Source organism: Homo sapiens, chromosome 4 (genome assembly GCF_000001405.40).
Source record: "Homo sapiens chromosome 4, GRCh38.p14 Primary Assembly".
Classification (NCBI taxonomy): Eukaryota; Metazoa; Chordata; class Mammalia; order Primates; family Hominidae; genus Homo; species Homo sapiens.
Genome location: NC_000004.12, coordinates 68,391,392 through 68,411,275, shown reverse-complemented (window position 1 = coordinate 68,411,275; position 19,884 = coordinate 68,391,392). Strand labels below are relative to the sequence as shown.

The 19,884-nt window shown below is 41.1% G+C and overlaps 7 annotated features.

Annotated features, from left to right (window-relative positions):
- Window positions 532-1,290: an enhancer, noted in NCBI's record as "OCT4-NANOG-H3K27ac-H3K4me1 hESC enhancer chr4:69275704-69276462 (GRCh37/hg19 assembly coordinates)". NCBI's record gives its function as "activates a minimal SCP1, AML or CMV promoter by ChIP-STARR-seq in naive H9 embryonic stem cells {active_cell/tissue: H9 hESC(naive)}" and the evidence as "EXISTENCE:reporter gene assay evidence [ECO:0000049][PMID:30033119]".
- Window positions 2,998-3,695: an enhancer, noted in NCBI's record as "OCT4-NANOG-H3K27ac hESC enhancer chr4:69273299-69273996 (GRCh37/hg19 assembly coordinates)". NCBI's record gives its function as "activates a minimal SCP1, AML or CMV promoter by ChIP-STARR-seq in naive H9 embryonic stem cells {active_cell/tissue: H9 hESC(naive)}" and the evidence as "EXISTENCE:reporter gene assay evidence [ECO:0000049][PMID:30033119]".
- Window positions 3,111-3,405: a silencer, noted in NCBI's record as "tiled region #109; HepG2 Repressive non-DNase unmatched - State 24:Quies". NCBI's record gives its function as "represses a minimal TATA promoter and a strong SV40 promoter by Sharpr-MPRA in HepG2 cells {active_cell/tissue: HepG2}" and the evidence as "EXISTENCE:reporter gene assay evidence [ECO:0000049][PMID:27701403]".
- Window positions 3,696-4,395: an enhancer, noted in NCBI's record as "OCT4-NANOG-H3K27ac hESC enhancer chr4:69272599-69273298 (GRCh37/hg19 assembly coordinates)". NCBI's record gives its function as "activates a minimal SCP1, AML or CMV promoter by ChIP-STARR-seq in naive H9 embryonic stem cells {active_cell/tissue: H9 hESC(naive)}" and the evidence as "EXISTENCE:reporter gene assay evidence [ECO:0000049][PMID:30033119]".
- Window positions 4,396-5,095: an enhancer, noted in NCBI's record as "OCT4-NANOG-H3K27ac hESC enhancer chr4:69271899-69272598 (GRCh37/hg19 assembly coordinates)". NCBI's record gives its function as "activates a minimal SCP1, AML or CMV promoter by ChIP-STARR-seq in primed H9 embryonic stem cells {active_cell/tissue: H9 hESC(primed)}" and the evidence as "EXISTENCE:reporter gene assay evidence [ECO:0000049][PMID:30033119]".
- Window positions 5,096-5,795: an enhancer, noted in NCBI's record as "OCT4-NANOG-H3K27ac-H3K4me1 hESC enhancer chr4:69271199-69271898 (GRCh37/hg19 assembly coordinates)". NCBI's record gives its function as "activates a minimal SCP1, AML or CMV promoter by ChIP-STARR-seq in naive and primed H9 embryonic stem cells {active_cell/tissue: H9 hESC(naive and primed)}" and the evidence as "EXISTENCE:reporter gene assay evidence [ECO:0000049][PMID:30033119]".
- Window positions 6,496-7,195: an enhancer, noted in NCBI's record as "OCT4-NANOG-H3K27ac-H3K4me1 hESC enhancer chr4:69269799-69270498 (GRCh37/hg19 assembly coordinates)". NCBI's record gives its function as "activates a minimal SCP1, AML or CMV promoter by ChIP-STARR-seq in naive and primed H9 embryonic stem cells {active_cell/tissue: H9 hESC(naive and primed)}" and the evidence as "EXISTENCE:reporter gene assay evidence [ECO:0000049][PMID:30033119]".

Here is a 19,884-nt window from a genome sequence, read left to right as displayed (position 1 = left end):
GAAGTAAATGAGGAGAAACAAGAGTCTTTATAGGTAGATACCGAGACATTAATTAGCTGCAGAGTAGGGCATGTACCTGTTCAACTTTACAATATACTGCCAAATTGCAGCAATGTATGAGAGTTCCTGTGTTCCTCCATGGTTATTTCTCTCATTATATCTCAAGTGCCTAGCATAATGCTTAATACATGGTAGAGCATAATGATATTTGACAGATGAATGAATGACAGTCAGGGTTTATTTACCATTGGGTCTATCCAAAATACAAGCCCAGCATCAACTCCTACTAGAGGCATATAGGGGCAGACCCAGGATTATGCAAGGGTCTGCCCAGAGAAGCAAAGTAGAGCACACTGCAAGGGAGGAAGAGTGACAAGGAAACCATCAAACTCCAGGTGAGAAAAGTGTGACAGGATAGGTGGGACATGGCAGCAAGGCAATCTGAGCATAGGCAATATGCAGAGATCCAGGCCGTGAATTCTTAGCTGGTGGGAACCCTAACTATGAAGGGAAGACCCCAGGTTCTGAAGGCAGGTAACAGCAAGGCAGAGACCTAGTGTTAGAGAAACAATTGGCTTTTATGGAAGGAAAAAGACTTGGAGGTGTAAAGTATTTTAAGGAGGACTGGGGCACTGAGTGGTAACTAAAGAAAATCCCAAAGTTAACATCAGATTGGATCTGTCAGACTTCATCTATGCCTTTAAATTTCAGTCCTAGACCCCCAATAGCTAATGAATGTTGTGAACCCCAAAAATCTAAGACAGGTCTCAGTCAATTTAGTAAGTTTGCCAGTGCTGAGGACTTGCTCCCGTGACACAGTCTCAGGAGGTCCTGATGACATGTGCCCAAGATGGTCAGAGCACAGTTTGGTTTTATACATTTCAGGGAGACATGAGACATCAATCAACATAGGTAAGATGAACATTGTTTCATTCTGGAAAGGCAGGACAACTGGAAGCTTGGAGGGGACTTCCGGGTCATACATAGATAAGAGACAAATGGTTGCATTCTTCTGAGTTTCTAATTAGCCTCTCCAAAGGAGACAATCAGATTTGCATTTATCTCAGTGAGCAAGGGGTGACTTTGAATAGAATGGGAGGCAAGTTTGCCCTAAGCAGTTCCCAGCTTGACTTTTCCCTTTAGTTCAGTAACCTTGGGGGGGCAGGATATTTTTCTCTCACATTTCCCCCCTTTTCTTTTTTAAAATCTTTGGAGAAAACATGTTAAAAGAAAATGAGTCTCTGATCTCAGATTTCCTCTAATTTCTCATGGGTACAATGGGTTATTCCTAGGCAGATAGGTCCTGAGTTATTAGGAAAGCTCATTTTTTAGAAGTTGTGAAGCTTCATATCCTTTAAAGATAAAATAGGGGGAGGAAGGGAGAAAAACAACAATAAGCAAAAGAACAATCCTGGAAAATTGATATAGGCCACATTACTCTGAAATCCTTACATTGGAGGCAGGTAGGAAAGTGGCTTATGTATGTAAATAGGTTGCTGTTATTTTCTTCTGAAGTTCGAGTTGTCTAGCTTCAGTTCACAGGGCTTTACGAAAGCACAGCTTAGTTTTCAGTGACTCCAAATTAGGAAAAATGGGGAAAAAAAAGAAGAAAAAAATGAGAACATTATTTTGAAGACTTGTAGCCAAGAAAAATTAGAATTTGGTCCAAACTGTAGAAAATAATAAAAATTGAAAAACATTAGGCAAGACCTAGAATCTAACAACAGGTATAGTATAGGTTTTGAAACACAGTTATTCTCTCTCCAGTTTTTAATTTTTACTCAAGACAAATCATGATAGGATTCATTTGCTTTATGATACTTGGCCAAATTATTTGTATACAGCTCAGCAAGAATAATTATTTTTTTACATAGGCTTTTAAATTGGCTTTGATAAAAGTTTGAACTAACTTTGGGAAGAACTTATTTTATAGTTTAGCTTTGAAAGAAAGATGATAACAGTCCTTTCCCAAAACAAACCTTACTGCCTGTGGACTAGACCGACAAAAGCCACAAGATTAGAAGTCACAGTAATCTTACTAAATTCAAGATGTTGGCAGGACTTGGTGGCTCCTGCTTATAATCCCAGCACTTTGGGAGGCTGAAGCGGGCAAATCATATGAGCCCAGGAGTTTGAGTCCAGCCTGGCTAACATGGCGAAACCCTGTCTATACAAAAAATACAAAAATTATCTGGGAACGGCGGCACATGCCTGTAATCCCAGCTACTTGGGAGGCTGAGGCATGAGAATCACTTGAACCCAAGAGGCAGAGGTTGCAGTGAGCTGAGATCATGCCACTGCACTACAGCCTCGGTGACAGAGTGAGACTCAGTCTCAAAAAAAGTAAATAAAGGCAGGGCATGGTGGTTCATGACTGTAATCCTAGCACTTTGGAAGACCGAGGTGGGCGGATCACGAAGTAAGGATATTGAGATCACCCTGGCTAACAAGGTGAAACCCCATCTCTACTAAAACTACAAAAAATTAGCTCCGTGTGGTGGCATGCGCCTGTAGTCCCAGCTACTCCGGACTGAGGCAGGAGGCTCAGGCTGAGGCAGGAGAATCACTTGAACTTGGGAGGTGGAGGTTGCAGTGAGCCGAGATCGTGCCACTGCACTCCAGCCTCGGTGACAGAGCAAGACTGTCTCAAAAAAACACAAATAAATAAATAAATAAAATAAAATGATGTAGCTTATTACACCAATATCAATCTCTAATTTATTTAAAGATTACACAGGGAAAGATCATTTTCTTGGGCTGGTTTTATAGTTTTGTAACCACTATGCCAAATTTTGACACCTCATAGCATTTGACAGGGATAAGTATGAAATTGCTTGATTAATAAATACAAAACAAAAATGTATGCTGGCAATTCTTAAGACATTTCTAATATTACTTTACCAATAATTTTAAAGCTAGCTTATTTATTAAAGATTTTACTTAAGTTACATAAACTTGAATAAGCATTTGACTAGTCTTTTCTTTTTTCCAATAAAGTATTTGATTCAAGCATTTTTGTTTTCTTAAGCCAATTAATTAGAGCTCTTTTATCTATTTTGAGTAGTGAAACATTCTGTACATAACATATAAATACATAGACATATTAGGCATGCTGATAAATTACATCTTATAGATTTATAAAAACCTTTTTTTCCCTATCTTAGACTTTCAGATTTTTGATAATCTGTTTCACAACCCTAGGCAGTTGTCAGGTAAACACGCTTAAATTTGCAAATTAAAGGAAACGACTCAGGTGAAATGCAAATAGCAAAATTTACATCACAAGGTACTGAGAGAAAAAGTCTGGTGATGCTAGAGGGAGATTAAAGATAGATGCCAAATCAAACATAAAATTACAGAAATCTATCGTAAGATTGGATAAGGAGACCAGTTTTATTTAGATAGGAACTACCTATCTTTTAACTGGATCCCTGAGCTGTGGGCAGAGCCCACACTGATTCCAGGGTCTCCAGAATGGGAGAATTATAATAAGGTTAGACCACATGATACTTTTTTAAGTTTTTTTAAGTGCACTTAGAAAAATTTTTTTTAAGCAAAGACATTTCTAGTGTCTAAAACACACTCTTCCTTAAAAACCCAAGAGCAAACTCTGTTGCAATAACTATGTTAGCCAAAAACAAAAACAAAAAACCAGGTAACACAATACAAAAGTGTCAGGCCTCTGAGCCCAAGCTAAGACATCATATCCCCTGTGACCTGCACATACACATCCAGATGGCTGGTTCCTGCCTTAACTGATGACATTCCACCACAAAAGAAGTGAAAATGGCCTGTTCCTGCCTTAACTGATGACATTACCTTGTGAAATTCCTTCTCCTGGCTCCTCCTGGCTCAAAAGCTCCCCCGCTGAGCACTTTGTGACCCCCACCCCTGCCCGCCAGAGAACAACCTCCCTTTTTCCTTTACCTACCCAAATCTTATAAAACGGCCCCACCCCTATCTGCCTTCGCTGACTCTTTTCGGACTCAGCCCGCCTGCACCCAGGTGAAATAAACAGCCTTGTTGCTCACACAAAGCCTGTTTGGTGGTCTCTTCACACGGACGTGAGTGAAAAAAAGTAAGCAGTTTAAGAGCTGAGAGGACCTTGTCTGTTTGCATTCTTGGGGTTCCATAAGGAAAAACAGGTTTCTCCTCCGAAGGGAGTCTGGTGCCTTCACTGTTTTCTTTAAGGAACCCCAGGCTATTACGAACTATTTTAGGTTCCCCATGCAGCAGAGGGTGCAAGAGAAAGGAGAGAGAGCAGAAACAAACAAGTGAAGAAAACAGAATTCAGTCAACTGAGAAGAAAAAACTTTTGCTCGAAAAAGAGACAAGGTCCTAGGAGAAAAGCAAAAACAAAAGCATGAGGGTCTTTTAAATACAAACACACACATATGCACACATACACACACACATCTTGGATGTTAGCTTTTAATTAAGCTGACTAGCCACTGAGCCCCTTTAAAAAATATGTTTTTAAATATCATTACCATATTTCAGCTAGGACAAATTGCTGCTATTTCAGAAGTAATAGCCATTGCTCTTTCAGTTTGGCCTGATTAGCAAAAAGGCCACCTTGCTATGTAAATAAAGCCTATTAGTAGTCAAAATCAAAGCCTTTCCTCTTTTTTTTCCTTTTGCTGGTATATTTCTCTGCTACCACACCACCGTTTTTGTAGTTGTTGTTGCTGTTGTTGTTGTCGTCGTTTTTCTGGGAATTTAGCCACTTCAGAGGCCTTGTTCCATAATTTGGAACTTCCTTTGGATTTGATCTAGTTGGATAGAGTTGATCAAACCCAATGAGAAAAAGACTGAAACAACAACAAAAACCAGAAACAAAAAACAATAACAAAACAAAAGTTAAGCAAAACAAACAATTGCACAACTTACATGATTACCAAGCACTCTAATGGTAAGGAGAAATTAAGATCAGGCGGTTGGAAATCTTAACTTTAACCAAGACAAACCCCACTTCATTTTTCATGTGCATCCGTGTGAAGAGACCACCAAACAGGCTTTGTGTGAGCAACATGGCTGTTTATTTCACCTGGGTGCAGGCGGGCTGAGTCTGAAAAGAGAGTCAGCGAAGGGAGATAAGGGTGGGACCGTTTTATAGGATTTGGGTAGATAAAGGAAAATTACAGTCAAAGGGGGGTTGTTCGCTGGCGGGCAGAGTGGGGGATCACAAGGTGCTCAGTAGGGGAGCTTTTGAGCCAGGATAAGGAATTTCACAAGACAATGTCATCAGTTAAGGCAGAAACAGGCCATTTTCACTTCTTTTGTGGTGGAATGTCATCAGTTAAGGCAGGAACCGGCCACCGGGATGTGTATGTGCAAGTCACAGGGGATACGATGGCTTAGCTTGGGCTCAGAGGCCTGACATCATTTACTTGCCTAGGGATGGATTTCAGGCTGAAGGCTGCTCTCTACCATCCTAGAAGTAGGGGGCAGCGGAGGGGATCTCATCAGGCTGGGTGCGGTGGCTCACACCGGTAACCCCAGCATTTTGGGAGGCCAGGGCAGGCAGATCACTTGAGGTTAGTAGTTCAAGACCAGCCTAACCAACATGTTGAAACCCTGTCTCTACTAAAAATAAAAAATTAGCTGGGCATGGTGGTGAACGCCTATAGTCCCAGCTACTCAGGAGGCTGAGGTAGGAGAATCACTTGAACCCAGGAGGCAGAGATTGCAGTGAGCTGAGATCGTGCCACTGCACTCCAGCCTGGGTGACAGAGCAAGACTCTGTCTCAAAACAAATAAACAAACAACAACAAAAACTCATCTTCCCTGTTGGAAGTGAGCTCAAACTCCATAAAGGAGTTATCTGCCTTCCATCATTATGGAAGCAGGGAAAACTTGCCTTCCTTGGGTTGGAAGCAAGTAAAATTCAAAAAAAGGAGTTACGTACCAAAATAAACTGTAGATCTCAACCAAATTTTGGAAGATCAGGGATTCTCTGGAGAGGGTGCTTCCAGACCTCAGCAAATTATCCTATTGGTTTGAGCCATAAAGATAGCTCAAGCTGATACCAAACACCAAAAGGAGATTTGTCAAAGGTCAGGGGCACCTCTACTTAGAATCCCTCTGTGGTTACCAAAACATGAACCCCCAAATTATGAGACAGGTCTCAGTTAATTCAGAAAGCTTATTTTGCCATGGTTGAGGATGTGAGCCCATGACAGCCTCAGGAAGTTCTGATGACATGTCCCAAGGCAGTCAGAGCAGTTTGGATTTATACATTTCAGGGAGACATGAGACATCAATCAACATATGTAAGATGAACATCATTTCGGTCTGGAAAGGCAGGACAACTGGAAGCTTGGAGGGGGCTTCCAGGTCATAAGTAGATAAGAGACAAATGGTTGCATTCTTTTGAGTTTGTGATCAGCCTCTCCAAAGGAGGCAATCAGATATGCGCTTATCTCAGTGAGAAGAGGGGTGACTGAATAGAGTGGGAGGCAGGTTTCCCTAAGAGGTTCCCAACCTTAACTTTTCCCTTTAGCTTAGTGATTTGGGGGACCCAAGATATTTTCCCTTCACAATGTCAATGATTTTCTGGCATAGTTCAGGGAGTAACCCAAAGGGTATTTGAGACAGTTCCCAAACAATTTAGAAGTTTATTTTGCCAAGGTCAAAAACATACCCGTGACACAACCTTAGGAGTCCTGAGAACATGTGCCCAAGGTGGTCAGCTACAGCTTGGTTTTATACATTTTAAGGAGACATAAAACATCAATCAATACATGTAAGATGTATATTGGTTTGGTCTGGAAAGGTGGGACAACTCAACTTGGTTGGGAGGGCTTGTGGGGAGTGGGATTTCAGGTCATAGGTGGATTCACAGTTGAAGAGTTTATCTAAAGGCGTGGAATCAATAGAAGGGAGTGTCTGGGTTAAGAAAAGCGGTTGTTGTGGAGATCAAGGCTTTTATTATGCAGATAAAGCCTCCAGATGGGAGGCTTCAGAGAGAATACACTGTAAATATTTCTCATCAGACTTAAAAAGGTGCCAAATTCTTAGTTAATTCTCTCCTGGATCAGGAAAAAGACTTGGAAAAGGAAGGGAATTCTTTACAGAATATGGATTTTCCCCACAACAGACACCATTGCAGGGCCATTTCAAAATATGTCAAAGAAATATATCTTGGGGTAAAATATTTCAGTTTTCTTCAGGGCCTGCTGTCTGCTATGTTGGTCTCTTATTGCTACAGTGTCTCCCTTCGTTGTCTTAAGGACTCTGTTTTTTTTTTTTTTTTTGAGACAGAGTCTCCCTCTGTCACCCAGGCTGGAGTGCAGTGGCACGATCTTGGCTCACTGCAACCTCCGCCTCCTGGGTTCAAGCAATTCTCTGCCTCAGCCTCCCGAGTAGCTGGGATTACAGGTGCCCACCACCATGCCCGGCTAATTTTTGTATTTTTAGTAGAGACGGGGTTTCACCATCTTGGCCAGGCAGGTCTTGAACTCCTGACCTCGTGATCCACCCGCCTCAGCCTCCCAAAGTGCTGAGGCGGGTGCTGGGATTACAGGTGTGAGCCACCGCATCCGGCCAAGGTCTCTGTTTTAATGTTAATGCTGGTCAGTAGTGACTGAATTCCAACAGGACGAGGGTATAATGAGGCATGTCTGACCACTCATTCCCGTCATGGCTTGAACTAGTGTTTCAGGTTAACTTTGGAATACCCTTGGCCAAGATGAGGGTTCCATTCAGTTCACTGGAGGCCTTAGAATTTTATTTTTCATTTACAAGCATTTATAGTGTCAGCCTGTAAATAGAGTTCTTTCTGTTCATAACTCATTTTCCTTGACCACCTCCTCCCTACTGACCATCATTTGTATTTCATTCCTTTCTCTGTCTGGTGTTTCCTGCTCTATTAGTCAGTCATTTACCCCTGGTGCCCATAATTTAATACCAAATAATGGCTTCCCAATTTTAGTTCAGTCTACTTATTGAATGATTCCAAGTTAATCTGTTAGGATTAACTATTATCCTCCTCACATACATACATATATATTTATATACACATATATATATACATAATGTCTCACTCTGTTACCCAAGCTGGAGTGCAATGCCACAATCTTGGCTCACTGCAACCTCCACCTCCCAAATTCAAGTGATTCTCCTGCCTCAGCCTCCCAAGTAGCTGGGATTACAGGCACATGCTACCACACCCAGCTAATTTTTGTATTTTTAGTAGAGACAGGGTTTCACCATGTTGGTCAGGATGGTCTTGAACTCCTGACCTCAGGTGATCTACCCGCCTCAGCCTCCCAAAGTGCTGGGATTACAGGTGTGACCCACTGTGCCCAGCCTTCCTCACGTACTTTATTGTCTCTTGTGTATTTCTATACTATTGCTTATAGTACTCACTTCAGGAAAGACCTTATTCCAACACAATGATAGGAAGGGTAAAACCAATGATTAAGACAATAATTACTGCATCAAGTTTAAGTTCTGAGATACAAAATATCTATAGTAGTAGTTTGACATTCACAATCCCAGCAATGCTTAGGACTGTGTATTCCAAAGAAGCAGCCACACAGTGTAGAGAAGTCTATACACAACATGGCACATTATGATGATGGAACAATGAAAATGATAACATTGTCCTTACTCTTCCATCTTTGTCCAATGTTTCCTATTGTAAAGATATAACAACACTGTTCCTTTGTGATGCCATAGTCTCCCTACCCATGGAAGAGATATGGTTAAGTTTTATTCAGTAATTTATTCACTAATTTGATGGTTAAAAATATCAAAGTATGGGCCAGGTGTGATGGCTCATGCCTGCAATCCCAGCACTTTGGGAGGCCGAGGTGGGCAGATCACCTGAAGTTGCGAGTTTGAGACCAGCCTGGCCAACACAGTGAAACCCCATCTCTACTAAAAATATAAAACTTAGCTGGGCATGGTGGCACGTGCCTGTAATCCCAGCTATTCTGGAGGCTGAGGCATGAGAATTGCTTGAACCTGGGAGGCAGAGGTTGCAGTGAGCCTAGGTTGCGCCACTGCACTCCAGCCTAGGTGACAGAGCAAGACACTCTCTCTAAAAAAGAAAAAAAATTTCAAAGTATGTGCAATGAAGAACCATATTTAATAGACACATAAATATTAATTAATTAATTAAGAAATAAATCTACTTATCTCTGAAAATACTGCTGATTGATCTGAGGGACTTGAACTTCAGCTGTAATCAGATATATATATTTAATTAATCCATTGTAGAATTTTAAACTGTAAGCTCTTTCATGAATTTCCCATAATCAGTAGTTTCATGGAATACTGACAAATGAAATATTCTCTACCTTCACTCCTTTTCTGGCACTCATAGGGAATGAATAAAATATTAGACACCAATACAATGTAACAAATCTCAAATATTAAGTGCATAGAATGTACAATTAAACTGAGGATTTCTGATAAGCCTAATTCTACAAAATCTGAGTGCCCACTACTATAGCAGTAGGTACTACTTCAAAATTCAGGCCACACAGCCTCTCTTAAGTCTGCAAAATGTGTAACTTGTGTCCTGCCATAAAGTCAACAAGTATCTTTTTATCATGCTAGATCCCCATTCTTTTCACAGTGAATTTTCAACAAGATCATCTATTTAAAGGACAGCAAAGAATCTGACACATAGTAAGCTATTGGTTCATCATTTATTCATGCAATACTTATTCCTAGAAGTATTTCCTAATATGGGGAAAAGATTCAATAAGATCATCTATTTAAAGGACAGCAAAGAATCTGACACATAGTAAGCTATTGGTTCATTTATTTATTCATGCAATACACATTCCTGGAAGTATTTCCTAATGTGGGGCATAACTCTATGGCTTTGTGCCTTAACACAATCTAACTGATGTACATATTCTAAAAACTCACATGCAAGTCTGTGTATATACAGATCCATCTATCCTTTCTATTCACAGAAAGAGAATATTTGTTCTTACTAGTTAGGGCTAGAATGTTTTGTAACTGCATATCTTTATTCCTGGGCCATCTTGGAAATTACTTGACATGGGGAAAAGAAGAAAGATGAGGAGGAAGAGGTAAGAAGGAGGGGGAAGAATGCAGGAATAGAAAACATTAATCCAATGAAATTTTGAAATGATTATTTCCTGTTTTTACTTTTTATACAGTCTGGAGTTTGTTTGGTATTTATACAGTCTGGAGTTTTGTTTGGTGATAACTAATTAATACACAATCTCATTCTCTCTGATTTTCTTTTTTATCTTCTCACATTTTTCCAATTACCATGTATTACTTTAGAGAGTATGCAAAAAATATAGCAGGAAAGCTGAAATAAGAATAAACAAGATAACTTTAAGACTATTAGTTACCACCACCGTTCGCTTGTGCCCTTACATAGACTTGGCATATGATCCTGGAAGTGTCATCTCCTGTAGCAAACTGCTGACCTTGGCAGGTGAAGGATGTTCTGTCACTTCAGGGAAAGGCATTATGAAGGAATAATAACAGGCAAAATTAAATGAAGACAGTGCCAACCAATACGTAGGTGGAGCTAGAAAACCAGCCCAAGAGAGTTTCAATCTACTAAAAAAGGAATGGGATGACTGGGAATAATTAAAATCAATGGCAAGATGTCCTTTCCTCTCAAATTGACTGCAGCAAGAGCCAGGCAAGGGCTAAATAATTCTTGTTAAAAGGAAAGAAATAAGTAACCCGAGCGTTACTCATATGAAAACTTTCACACACCTGTCCTCTTGCTATTTATTAATTTTATTCTTACTCAAATCTCAAAATAATTTGATATCTCCTTTTTGCCACTGGAAAGGGATGAGCATTAGTAATTTATACCTATAGATCTAAGCTCTGATGAAGGGCTACATTTTTTAAAATAGTAAAAACAATAATTTATGCCTTGCCTTTTTTCTGAGAAGTAGGACAGCAATATTTTAAATGGAATAATTGCCATATGGTCCTGAAACATTCACATGTATATATACAACCTCTCATTAGACGTAACAAATACTGGATGATATGTAGAAACTAATCTTGACCAAAAAACCACAACAAAAAAATCCTGATTTATGGCATATGCCTTTACAGAAAATTTACCTAGTGTGGTAAGTATGCAGCTAGAGATGGCCTTAGAAAAAATACTGTAGGTTGGCCAGGCATGGTGGCTCACGCCTGTAATCCCAGCACTTTGGGAGGCCGAGGCAGGTGGATCACAAGGTCAAGAGATGAGACCATCCTGGCCAACATGGTGAAACCCCGTCTCTACTAAAAATACAAAAAAAATTAGCTGGGCTTGGTGGCATGTGCCTATAGTCACAGCTACTTGGGAGGTTGAGGCAGGAGAATAGCTTGAACCCAGGAGGTAGGAGTTGCAGTGAGCCAAGATCATGCCACTGCACTCCAGCCTGGTGACAGTGCGAGAGTTTGTCAGAAAGAGAGAGAGGAAAGAAAAGGAAGGAAGGAAGGAAGGAAGGAAGGAAGGAAGGAAGGAAGGAAGGAAGAAAGAAAGAAAGAAAGGAGGGAGGGAGGGAGGGAGGGAGGGAGGGAGGGAGGGAGGGAGGGAGGGAAGGAAGGAAGGAAGGAGAAGGAAGGAAGGAAGGAAACTGTAAGTACATTTTTTTTTTTTTTCTTACATGTACTGGTTTATTATAAAGGATATTGCAAAGGATCCAGATGAAGAGAACCATAGGGGAAGGTATGAAGGAAGGGGCCCGGAGCTTCCATGCCCTCCCTGGGTGCGCCACCCTCCAGGAAGTGCCACATGTTCAGCTATCCGGAAGCTCACTGAACCCTGTCCTCTTGGGTTTTTATGAAAGCTTCATGACATCAGCATTCCTTCCCTCAGGATATAGGATGGAACCCTCTCCTGTGAGAGTCTTAAGCGTCACAATTAGAAAGTGGGGAAACATTAGAGTGAAAGTAAGGCAGGAGAAGGTCAGAGGCTTGCTCCTGAGGCCTAACATACCCAACATTATATAAAAAAAAGAAAATATTGTAACAAGGGATATAGGAGTTATAAGCCAGGAACTGTGGACTAAAACCAGTGTATATCATAACACCACAGGCCACTCCCTGGTTTTCCACCATGGTGCCTTTACTTCAAAAATATATATATTATGCACAATCATTAACAATTAATCAAATCCTTCATATTGTTTGAATGTCTTCCAGGATGAGGCCACTCAGGGTTGCAAGTTTCCTCTCAATCTTGTCAGGTCTCGAAAGCAGGAGTGGCCTCAGTAAATACGCAGCTTCACCCTTTAAGGCATCTGGGATAATTAAGCTAAGAGACAATGTCATCTCTTGCTCTGAGACTCTTTTGAGTTGTTATGTAATACTGAATTTTTCTCAATTAATAACTCATTTATTCATTTATTTACTCTCAGCTACTATTTCTCCTTCTCTCCATTAATACCTAAACCTTTTCACCTTTGGAAGAGAAATTAGAACCACCACAGTGCCGGTCTACATTGCAAGTAGTAATACAAGTCTAGCAATTAGCTCCTTCTCAGTCCACGCCAATTCAGACCGGGTAAGGTTACATAGGTGCAGAACTAGTGAGCTATTTTTACCACCAGGCAATATAGCTGCATTCACTGATAGCCCCAATTTTTCTAGATAGCATGAAGACACAACCCACTCCCATCATGCCTTTGGGAATTTTGATATAAGGTTTCAAAACACAGTTACAGGTTTTTGCTTAGAAATCACCCCTGCTAATCCAGCAGTTGTAATTGCAGTCCTGGTCCTAGGACCACTGCATCAGCCAGGGGAGAAAAAAATAAATTTCTTTTAGGTGATTTGGGGAAGAAAGAAAAACTTACATTTGTTATACCAGTGTACTCGTCCCTTGGCAAGAATGGCATAGTCATACCAGCATCCTCCCAACTCCCTGTTCCCCAGATCAACCAGAAAAACAAAGAAAAAAAATCTAGCAGAAACACTCTAGTCCTGCTCATGTTGAGTGTGAGCAGACAGGAAGGCATGTGAGCCAGCCCTTTGTGCTTTTATCTCCCCCTGTTTTACACAATCAATGTTTCAATTGCCTGCTCTACTGCTCTATCAAACTATTACTCTAGGTGGATATCTCTTTGTCCATTGTTGGACTATTCTTATGGGCTGTACAGTGTGTTCCTTGGTCTGAAAAACTGATGGTTAGCCATCTATATCCATGTAATATCTTCTGTTCCGGTTTTTTATGGCACTCAGAGAATTTTCATCTTCTTCTGGGCAAGCAACATCCACTCCATAGCCAGTGTCTATTCCTGTCAAGACCCATTTGTAGCCTCCAGGGCTACCAGCATTTGTCGCACTTGCCAGCTATGTTCAGGGCCTTCCCACCAGAGAATCTGTCCCAAAGCCGTCAGCAGTCTCTGGCTTTCTTATTGAGAAACACAACAGTTCTTTCTGGCATTTTGTGCCTGAGAAGGTGCAAAAAAACCATCTCTACATTCAGCCCATCTCTGCCCTGTTACAATACTCCCATATCCACTCATTTCAAAGGCCCAGGTGGCCACTTCAAGGGAGTACATGGGGATATCTGCTTGTCAATTCCAGTCACTTTCTGAACCTGGAAGGGAGTTCTTCTGATGGGCATTCACTTGTTCTTCTTTAATGCACCCCTCAAATCTCCATAGAACAGTGCTCCTATGTGCATCCATTTAATAGGCCAAATTTCCATGGCCCTCTTGCCTGAGTGTATGGCCAGGCCATGGGTCACACTGCCCACAGCTCAGTAAACACCCAAACTCAGGGGCTTTTACCATTGATCAATTCTTCCATCACTGTTAGAAAAACAGTGTGCAATTCAGCCCACCAAGCAGATCTGTTTTTACCTTCTTTTATCAAAGTAGCTGCCTTCCAAACACAATGGTGTCCATTTACCTTGGAATTACTGGCCACAAACTAAGTAGCTCTTTCTCATGAGTTGAGAGCCATTTATCAGGCACTGTAGAATCCAGCAGTTTCTCACACAGTTCCAGAGTCAGTCTCAGGAGAAAAGAAACACCCTGCTCAAGAGTATCCCCTCCTTGCAGTTCTTAGGTGGCATGATCCTCGATAAACCATGTCCATTTTATTATGGAACTCTCCTGGGCACTGCCATCCCTGTTAGAATGTTTCTCTGACATCGCTGGGCCAACATGGGTATTTCAGGTGTTAATAGCGGTAGCTTCACCTAACATTTCACAGCAAAGCAGTAAATGCCCCTCAGATGGAAGTTCCATAGTCCAAAGTCCCAGTAGATGTTGCTGGGAGGTGCTCAGAGGCTTTTGCCACAAGATCCAGGAAATAGCATCACAGAGGCTTATCAAGTGGAGAATTTATCCATAACAGCATTCTAGCTTCTACTCTGCACTGTGTGGACTTGGGCAATCTCACTGGTTCCCATTTAGCATGTCCAATTAATATTGCTTGAGGGCAGATTATTACATGCCTTCTGTTTTACAGCACCAGGGAGGAGAAATATTTCCCAATGAGATACTTTGTTCATTCCCACAAAAAAAAAAATCAGGTAAAAGAGATGCAATCACTTCACATAAAGTGTTTTCAAATATACCAACTTCCATAGTCCTATCAACTCTTACATTTTTATGTTCTAGTTTCAGGATCTTCTCTTCTTTACCCCCAGGTCATTTTACCCTCTCTTGTGTAAAAAGCTTTGGGTCCCCAGCCAAGGATTGAGCCCAAGGACCCTGGCCCTTTTATTAATCTTTATCTCGATTAGTCTGCCTGACTGTTGCCCCAGGCAATTTTAGATCTGATTTTTCATTGTAATCTCTGCCTTCCAGCTTTTTAAATTTCTCCAAGCTGGCAGAAATACAGCAGACTGGTTTGCGGCCTTTTAATGTTGGGGGACAAGATGGGGCCCCCTCTGGTCCATCCAACCTACAATAGTGTTGTATTAAGACCTTTGCTTAACCCCATCAATGTCTATTTTATTGATTCTATTTCTTAATAAGCATCTAAAGTTTTCCATTCTGCTGGGACGAGTCCCATGACTCTCCCCTTTCTTTTTCTTCTTAGTTTCACCCCATCAATGTTTTCTTCATTCACCTTATTTTTTAATAACCATTTTAAAATTTCTATCTTCCGGGGATGAGTCTTTGACTCTCCCTTTTGCCTTTCACTGTTCTCTTATTAATTAACCTAATGTTTTTATTAGCATCTGTGAGATCCATGAGGGGAAACTCAGTCCACAAATTTGATAAGGCTTCTTGAACTATTTGAGTCTGCAGGAGTAATGTCACATGGGGTCCCCTTAACCAGAGTATTTACCGTGACCTGGGTAATGGACATATTCACTGAGTGAATATTCATGTCCTCATAAAGCCAGTCACACATGGCTTGCATATGAATTGTATCAGCTGCCTTATGTAAGGTGTTCCACTTGGCATTTATAGGTGGAGTTCAACAGTCCACCTTCTCAAATAGATCTTATAATGGCTTTTATCCAATCTATCAGACTGGCTGTTCCTTGCGGAATAACCTACATATCTGGATCATATATACCCATCTGTGATTGTTCAAATGGTCAGCTGTGGGTCCTATATCAACCCAAACATGCTCTTCACTCTGCAAGATTTGAAACCAAAGACACTGCCCCTACATTTGTCATTCTTATAATCCATTTTAGCAATAGTTCCTCAGGAAGCTGATAACACCATTCTACAAAAATGAAACAATTCCTTCACACTATACTCTCCGGTTTTGTTACCAGCTGTGAATCCAACAGGTCTGCAGCAAACGATTCTTGCCTGCAAGGAGGAAAGAATACATTGGCATCGTTCCAAGGTTTGCATTTCTTCTCCCCTGATTCTTCCCTTGGGGTGGGCTATCTGCATGCACACTGGTCCGCCAGCACTTGGGGAGGGGCAACATGCACACTGTGTTTGCCAAAGTTGTACACATGCTCATTTGAGGCATTTTTTCCTTACCAGTCAGGTTTTCCTAGAGAAAGATCATATACCAGTTAATCTCTGCCATTTTGCTTTTTAGTGGGCATTCTTGAGCCTGTTCACCCAACTCCTGAAATCTTATCAGGAAGCTGCTGATCACCAGTTTCAGGTATTGTCTATTTATTGGGAGACTGTTTTTCCCTGCACTGGCTGTGACCAATTATTATTTTAGAGCAACAGTTTAACAACCAACTAACCATCACCTGATGGTTGCCTGGCATTTCTGGATGGGGCCTCGCTCCTGTCCTGCTCATGCCTACCTAACTACCTACTCTAATAGTTTAAATAGTTACTTGGTTTTGCCCTGCCTTCACATTGACTGTCTTCCACAGGTTTCAGAGGTACTTTCTACTGTCCCTGCATAATTTTCTCCTTTGTGTGTGACTTTGAGGCTAGTGGCCTAACTAAGCTCAGACATGTCCCCATCTGAACTTGGTCCAACTTCAAGTCCTGATGCAGCACCCTATTTTACTTTCATTTTAGCAATTTTAAGTAACAACAACCAAAGGACTGAATATTTTGCTTTTTTCTTATTAGTTTGCATTCCCTTTTGCATCCAGTGAACCAATTCCTGGGGAGTTCTATCCATCTCTAAATTCCGCTGGTAACTTTCACCTGTAGTAACTGATCTCAACACAACTGCAACTTCATATCATGGGTGACCACGATGGTCACCCAGGAATCAAAGATTCCTCATCCTCCCAGCCTTTTAGCCTTTCTCTTCCTAAACCACATGTTTCTGTGAGTGAGGGCTGTTCTAGCAAATCCCATTTCACTGACATCAATTGTGTAGGGGAACTCTCCCTAACTGTGTTTTCTCTCTCCTCTGACAACACAACAGTCATCAACACAGAAGAAGAATTCTATGACCAAATGCATGGAGTTTTTTCCTAACACACCAAGCGGCAGACACCAGCTGGATGTTCTTTAGTTCCATTCCAATCCTATCTACCCAGAGGTAGAGTCAGATTCCACAAACTGAGGGCTCCGTCCCCAAGACTGCCAACTACACACAAACCAGTTGCAAGTCTGGGCCTCTGGAACTTCTGACCACCGCGCTTCAAGTTGCAGTTCCCATGACCCCTTTTTTGGGTTCAGTTAATTTGCTGGAACAGCCCACAGAACTCAGGGAAATGCTTACATCTACTGGTTTATTGTAAAAGATATTGCAGGCTAGGTGCGGTGGCTCATGCCTGTAATCCCAACACTTTGGGAGGCCGAGGCAGGCGGATAGCTTGATGTCAGGAGTTCGAGACCAGCCTGGCCAACACTGTAAAAATGCCGTTTCTATTAAAAATACAATAATTGGCCAGGCATGGTGGTGTATGCCGGTAATCCCAGCTACTTGGGAGGCTGAGGCAGGAGAATTGCTTGAACTTGGGAGGAGGAGGTTGTAGTGAGCCAAGATCGCACCACTTCACTCCATCCTGGGTGACAGAGCAAGACCTTGTCTCTAAAAAAAAAAAGTAAATAAAAGATATTACAAAAGATACAGATGAAGAGGTGCATAGGGTGAGACATAGGGGAAGGGGCACAGAGCTTCCATGCCATCCCTGGGCACACCGCCCTCCAGGAACTGACATGTGTTCAGCTATCCAGAAGCTCTGGTACATACATTTTGTTATTGCACCTGAAAAGTTGTTTGAAACTAGTTTCATTTATATGCTACAACAGACACTTGTAGACACAGAAGTAAGCCAAAGTAAATTATGGATGAGAAATATTTGCTGAAAGATAAATCATTTTTCTTAGGCTAGTCTGTGATCTTAAAGTTTTCTTCTCATGCTGCACAAGGACATATATTACAAGATAAGAGGGAATATCTGCTTCCTATAAAGTCTGTATACCCTCTTCCTGGAAGAGAACACTAAGACATAAGGAGAGATCTTTCCATAAACTTCTTTAATATGGGACTTTATTAATTTAATGTATTTATTAATACATTTAATAAATGTATATGCTTCAACTAAAAGATGGCCAATAGCCAAAGTAAGGAAGAAATAATCAGTAAGGTTTATAATATGCTTTCATTTTTGCCTCTTATCTCAAAATTAATGAAAAGTTTTTCCTTGGCTAGAGTGCTCAGTTCAATAAGCATTTATGTTTCTACTATTTAAAAAAATGATCTCTGTAAGGCTTTATGCTAAAAGATGTCATAGAAAATGCAAAAACAAAAAATAAACAAATTCTTTCCCCCATGAACTAGCACTTGAAACTTTGAGCTTATATAAATTTTAAAACAGAGTGACAGACTTTTCTGTATTGATATCCCTCATCTAAGGAAAAAAAATGCCTTAAACCTTTGCGTACTACCAAATAAGGCATGATTCTCCATTTAAGCAATACTTAGTTTTCAACAGAGAAAATAAAACGTGCTTTATCCAGACTACCCTTGTAAGAGTTTAGAAATCAGATGCTGCTTAAGAACCTGGGACAAACAAACAGAAAAATAGAATGGATTGGTTCCTCGAGAAAAGTTGGTATTTTGCCAAGCTTGCTTTTTTAGAAGTGTTTTCACATCCCTACACTTCTTCAGTGCTTTTGAATTATGCCTAATGGAGATATTCCATTTTTCCTATTTCTATAAATGTAATTTAAGGAAAAGGGTTCAGCAAATATGTTCCTCAACCTTGGAGCTCATAGCCGGTCTTTAGTTTTCCATCTCAAGTATTGTGTTCCTCATCCTGGAAACCACATATATGTTTATAGGTTTGGTAGTATAAAAGATAGAAAGAGGATCCTTGAGGGCTATTCTAAAAACACTTTAATTATAGAATTATTGTTCTTCAAACTCTCCCTGTTTCGTTTTGTTTTTTTCTTGAGACAGTGTCTCATTCTGTGGCCCAGGCCAGAGTGCAGTGGCACAATCTCAGCTCACTGCAGCCTCCGCCTTCTAGGTTCAAGCAACTCACCTGCCTCAGCCACCCTACTAGCTGGGATTACAGGCGTACACCACCATGCCCATCTAATTTTTGTACTTTTTGTGGAGACAGGGTTTTGTTGTGTTGCCCAGGCTGGTCTCGAACTCCTGAGCTCAAGTGATCCATCCTCCTCTGCCTCACAAAATGCTGGGATTACAGGTAGGAGCCACCACACCTGGCCAACTCCTTTCTTTCCTACATGAGGTCAAGGCCAAATGCTCTCCACTTGGAGGCCTTTTTTGATATCTTGCTAATTCTAGGAGGAGTTTTGTGCTTATTAAAATCCAAAGACATAAACCACATTGCAATTCAAAAGTAGAAAGATAGTAGGATCTGGCTGGGCACGGTGGCTCATGCCTGTAATCCCAGCACTTTGGGAGGCTGAGAAGGGTGGATCACCTGAGGCCAGGAGTTTGAGACCAGGCTGGCCAACATGGAGAAACCCCGTCTCTACTAAAAATACAGAAAATTGGCCAGGGGTGGTGGCAGGCACCTGTAATCCCAGCTACTCAGGAGGCTGAGGTAGGAGAATCGCTTGAACCCAGCAGACAGAGGCTGCAGTGAGCCAAGATCGTGCCATTGCATTCCAGCCTGGGCAACAAGAGCAAAACTCCATCTCAAAAAAAAAAAAAAAAAAAAAGGAAAAACAAGAAAGAAATATACGATCAGTTGGAGAGACATCCTCCTGGCTTCAGATGCACATTGCAAGCGGGCAGGGTTGGGGCATGAAGAAAACTCCTCACTCAAGTAAACAAAGCCCATTAGGTTCACTCGTTACCACAGCAGCCTCTGTAGCCAAGATCTGTGATGACAGCTAAGTTTACAGCTATCACAATATCAGCTATCACCATGTAAAAAGGATTATTTCACTGTCACAGCTCATTAAGAGACAGGCTTGTTATGAGATTTTGGCTTAGATTTTTATTTAGGATGTTTGGATTTTTTTAAATTATCACTTAGATATTATCTGTATCTGAAAAAATTATCAAATACTAAATTAATAAACTAATATGCTGTCTGAG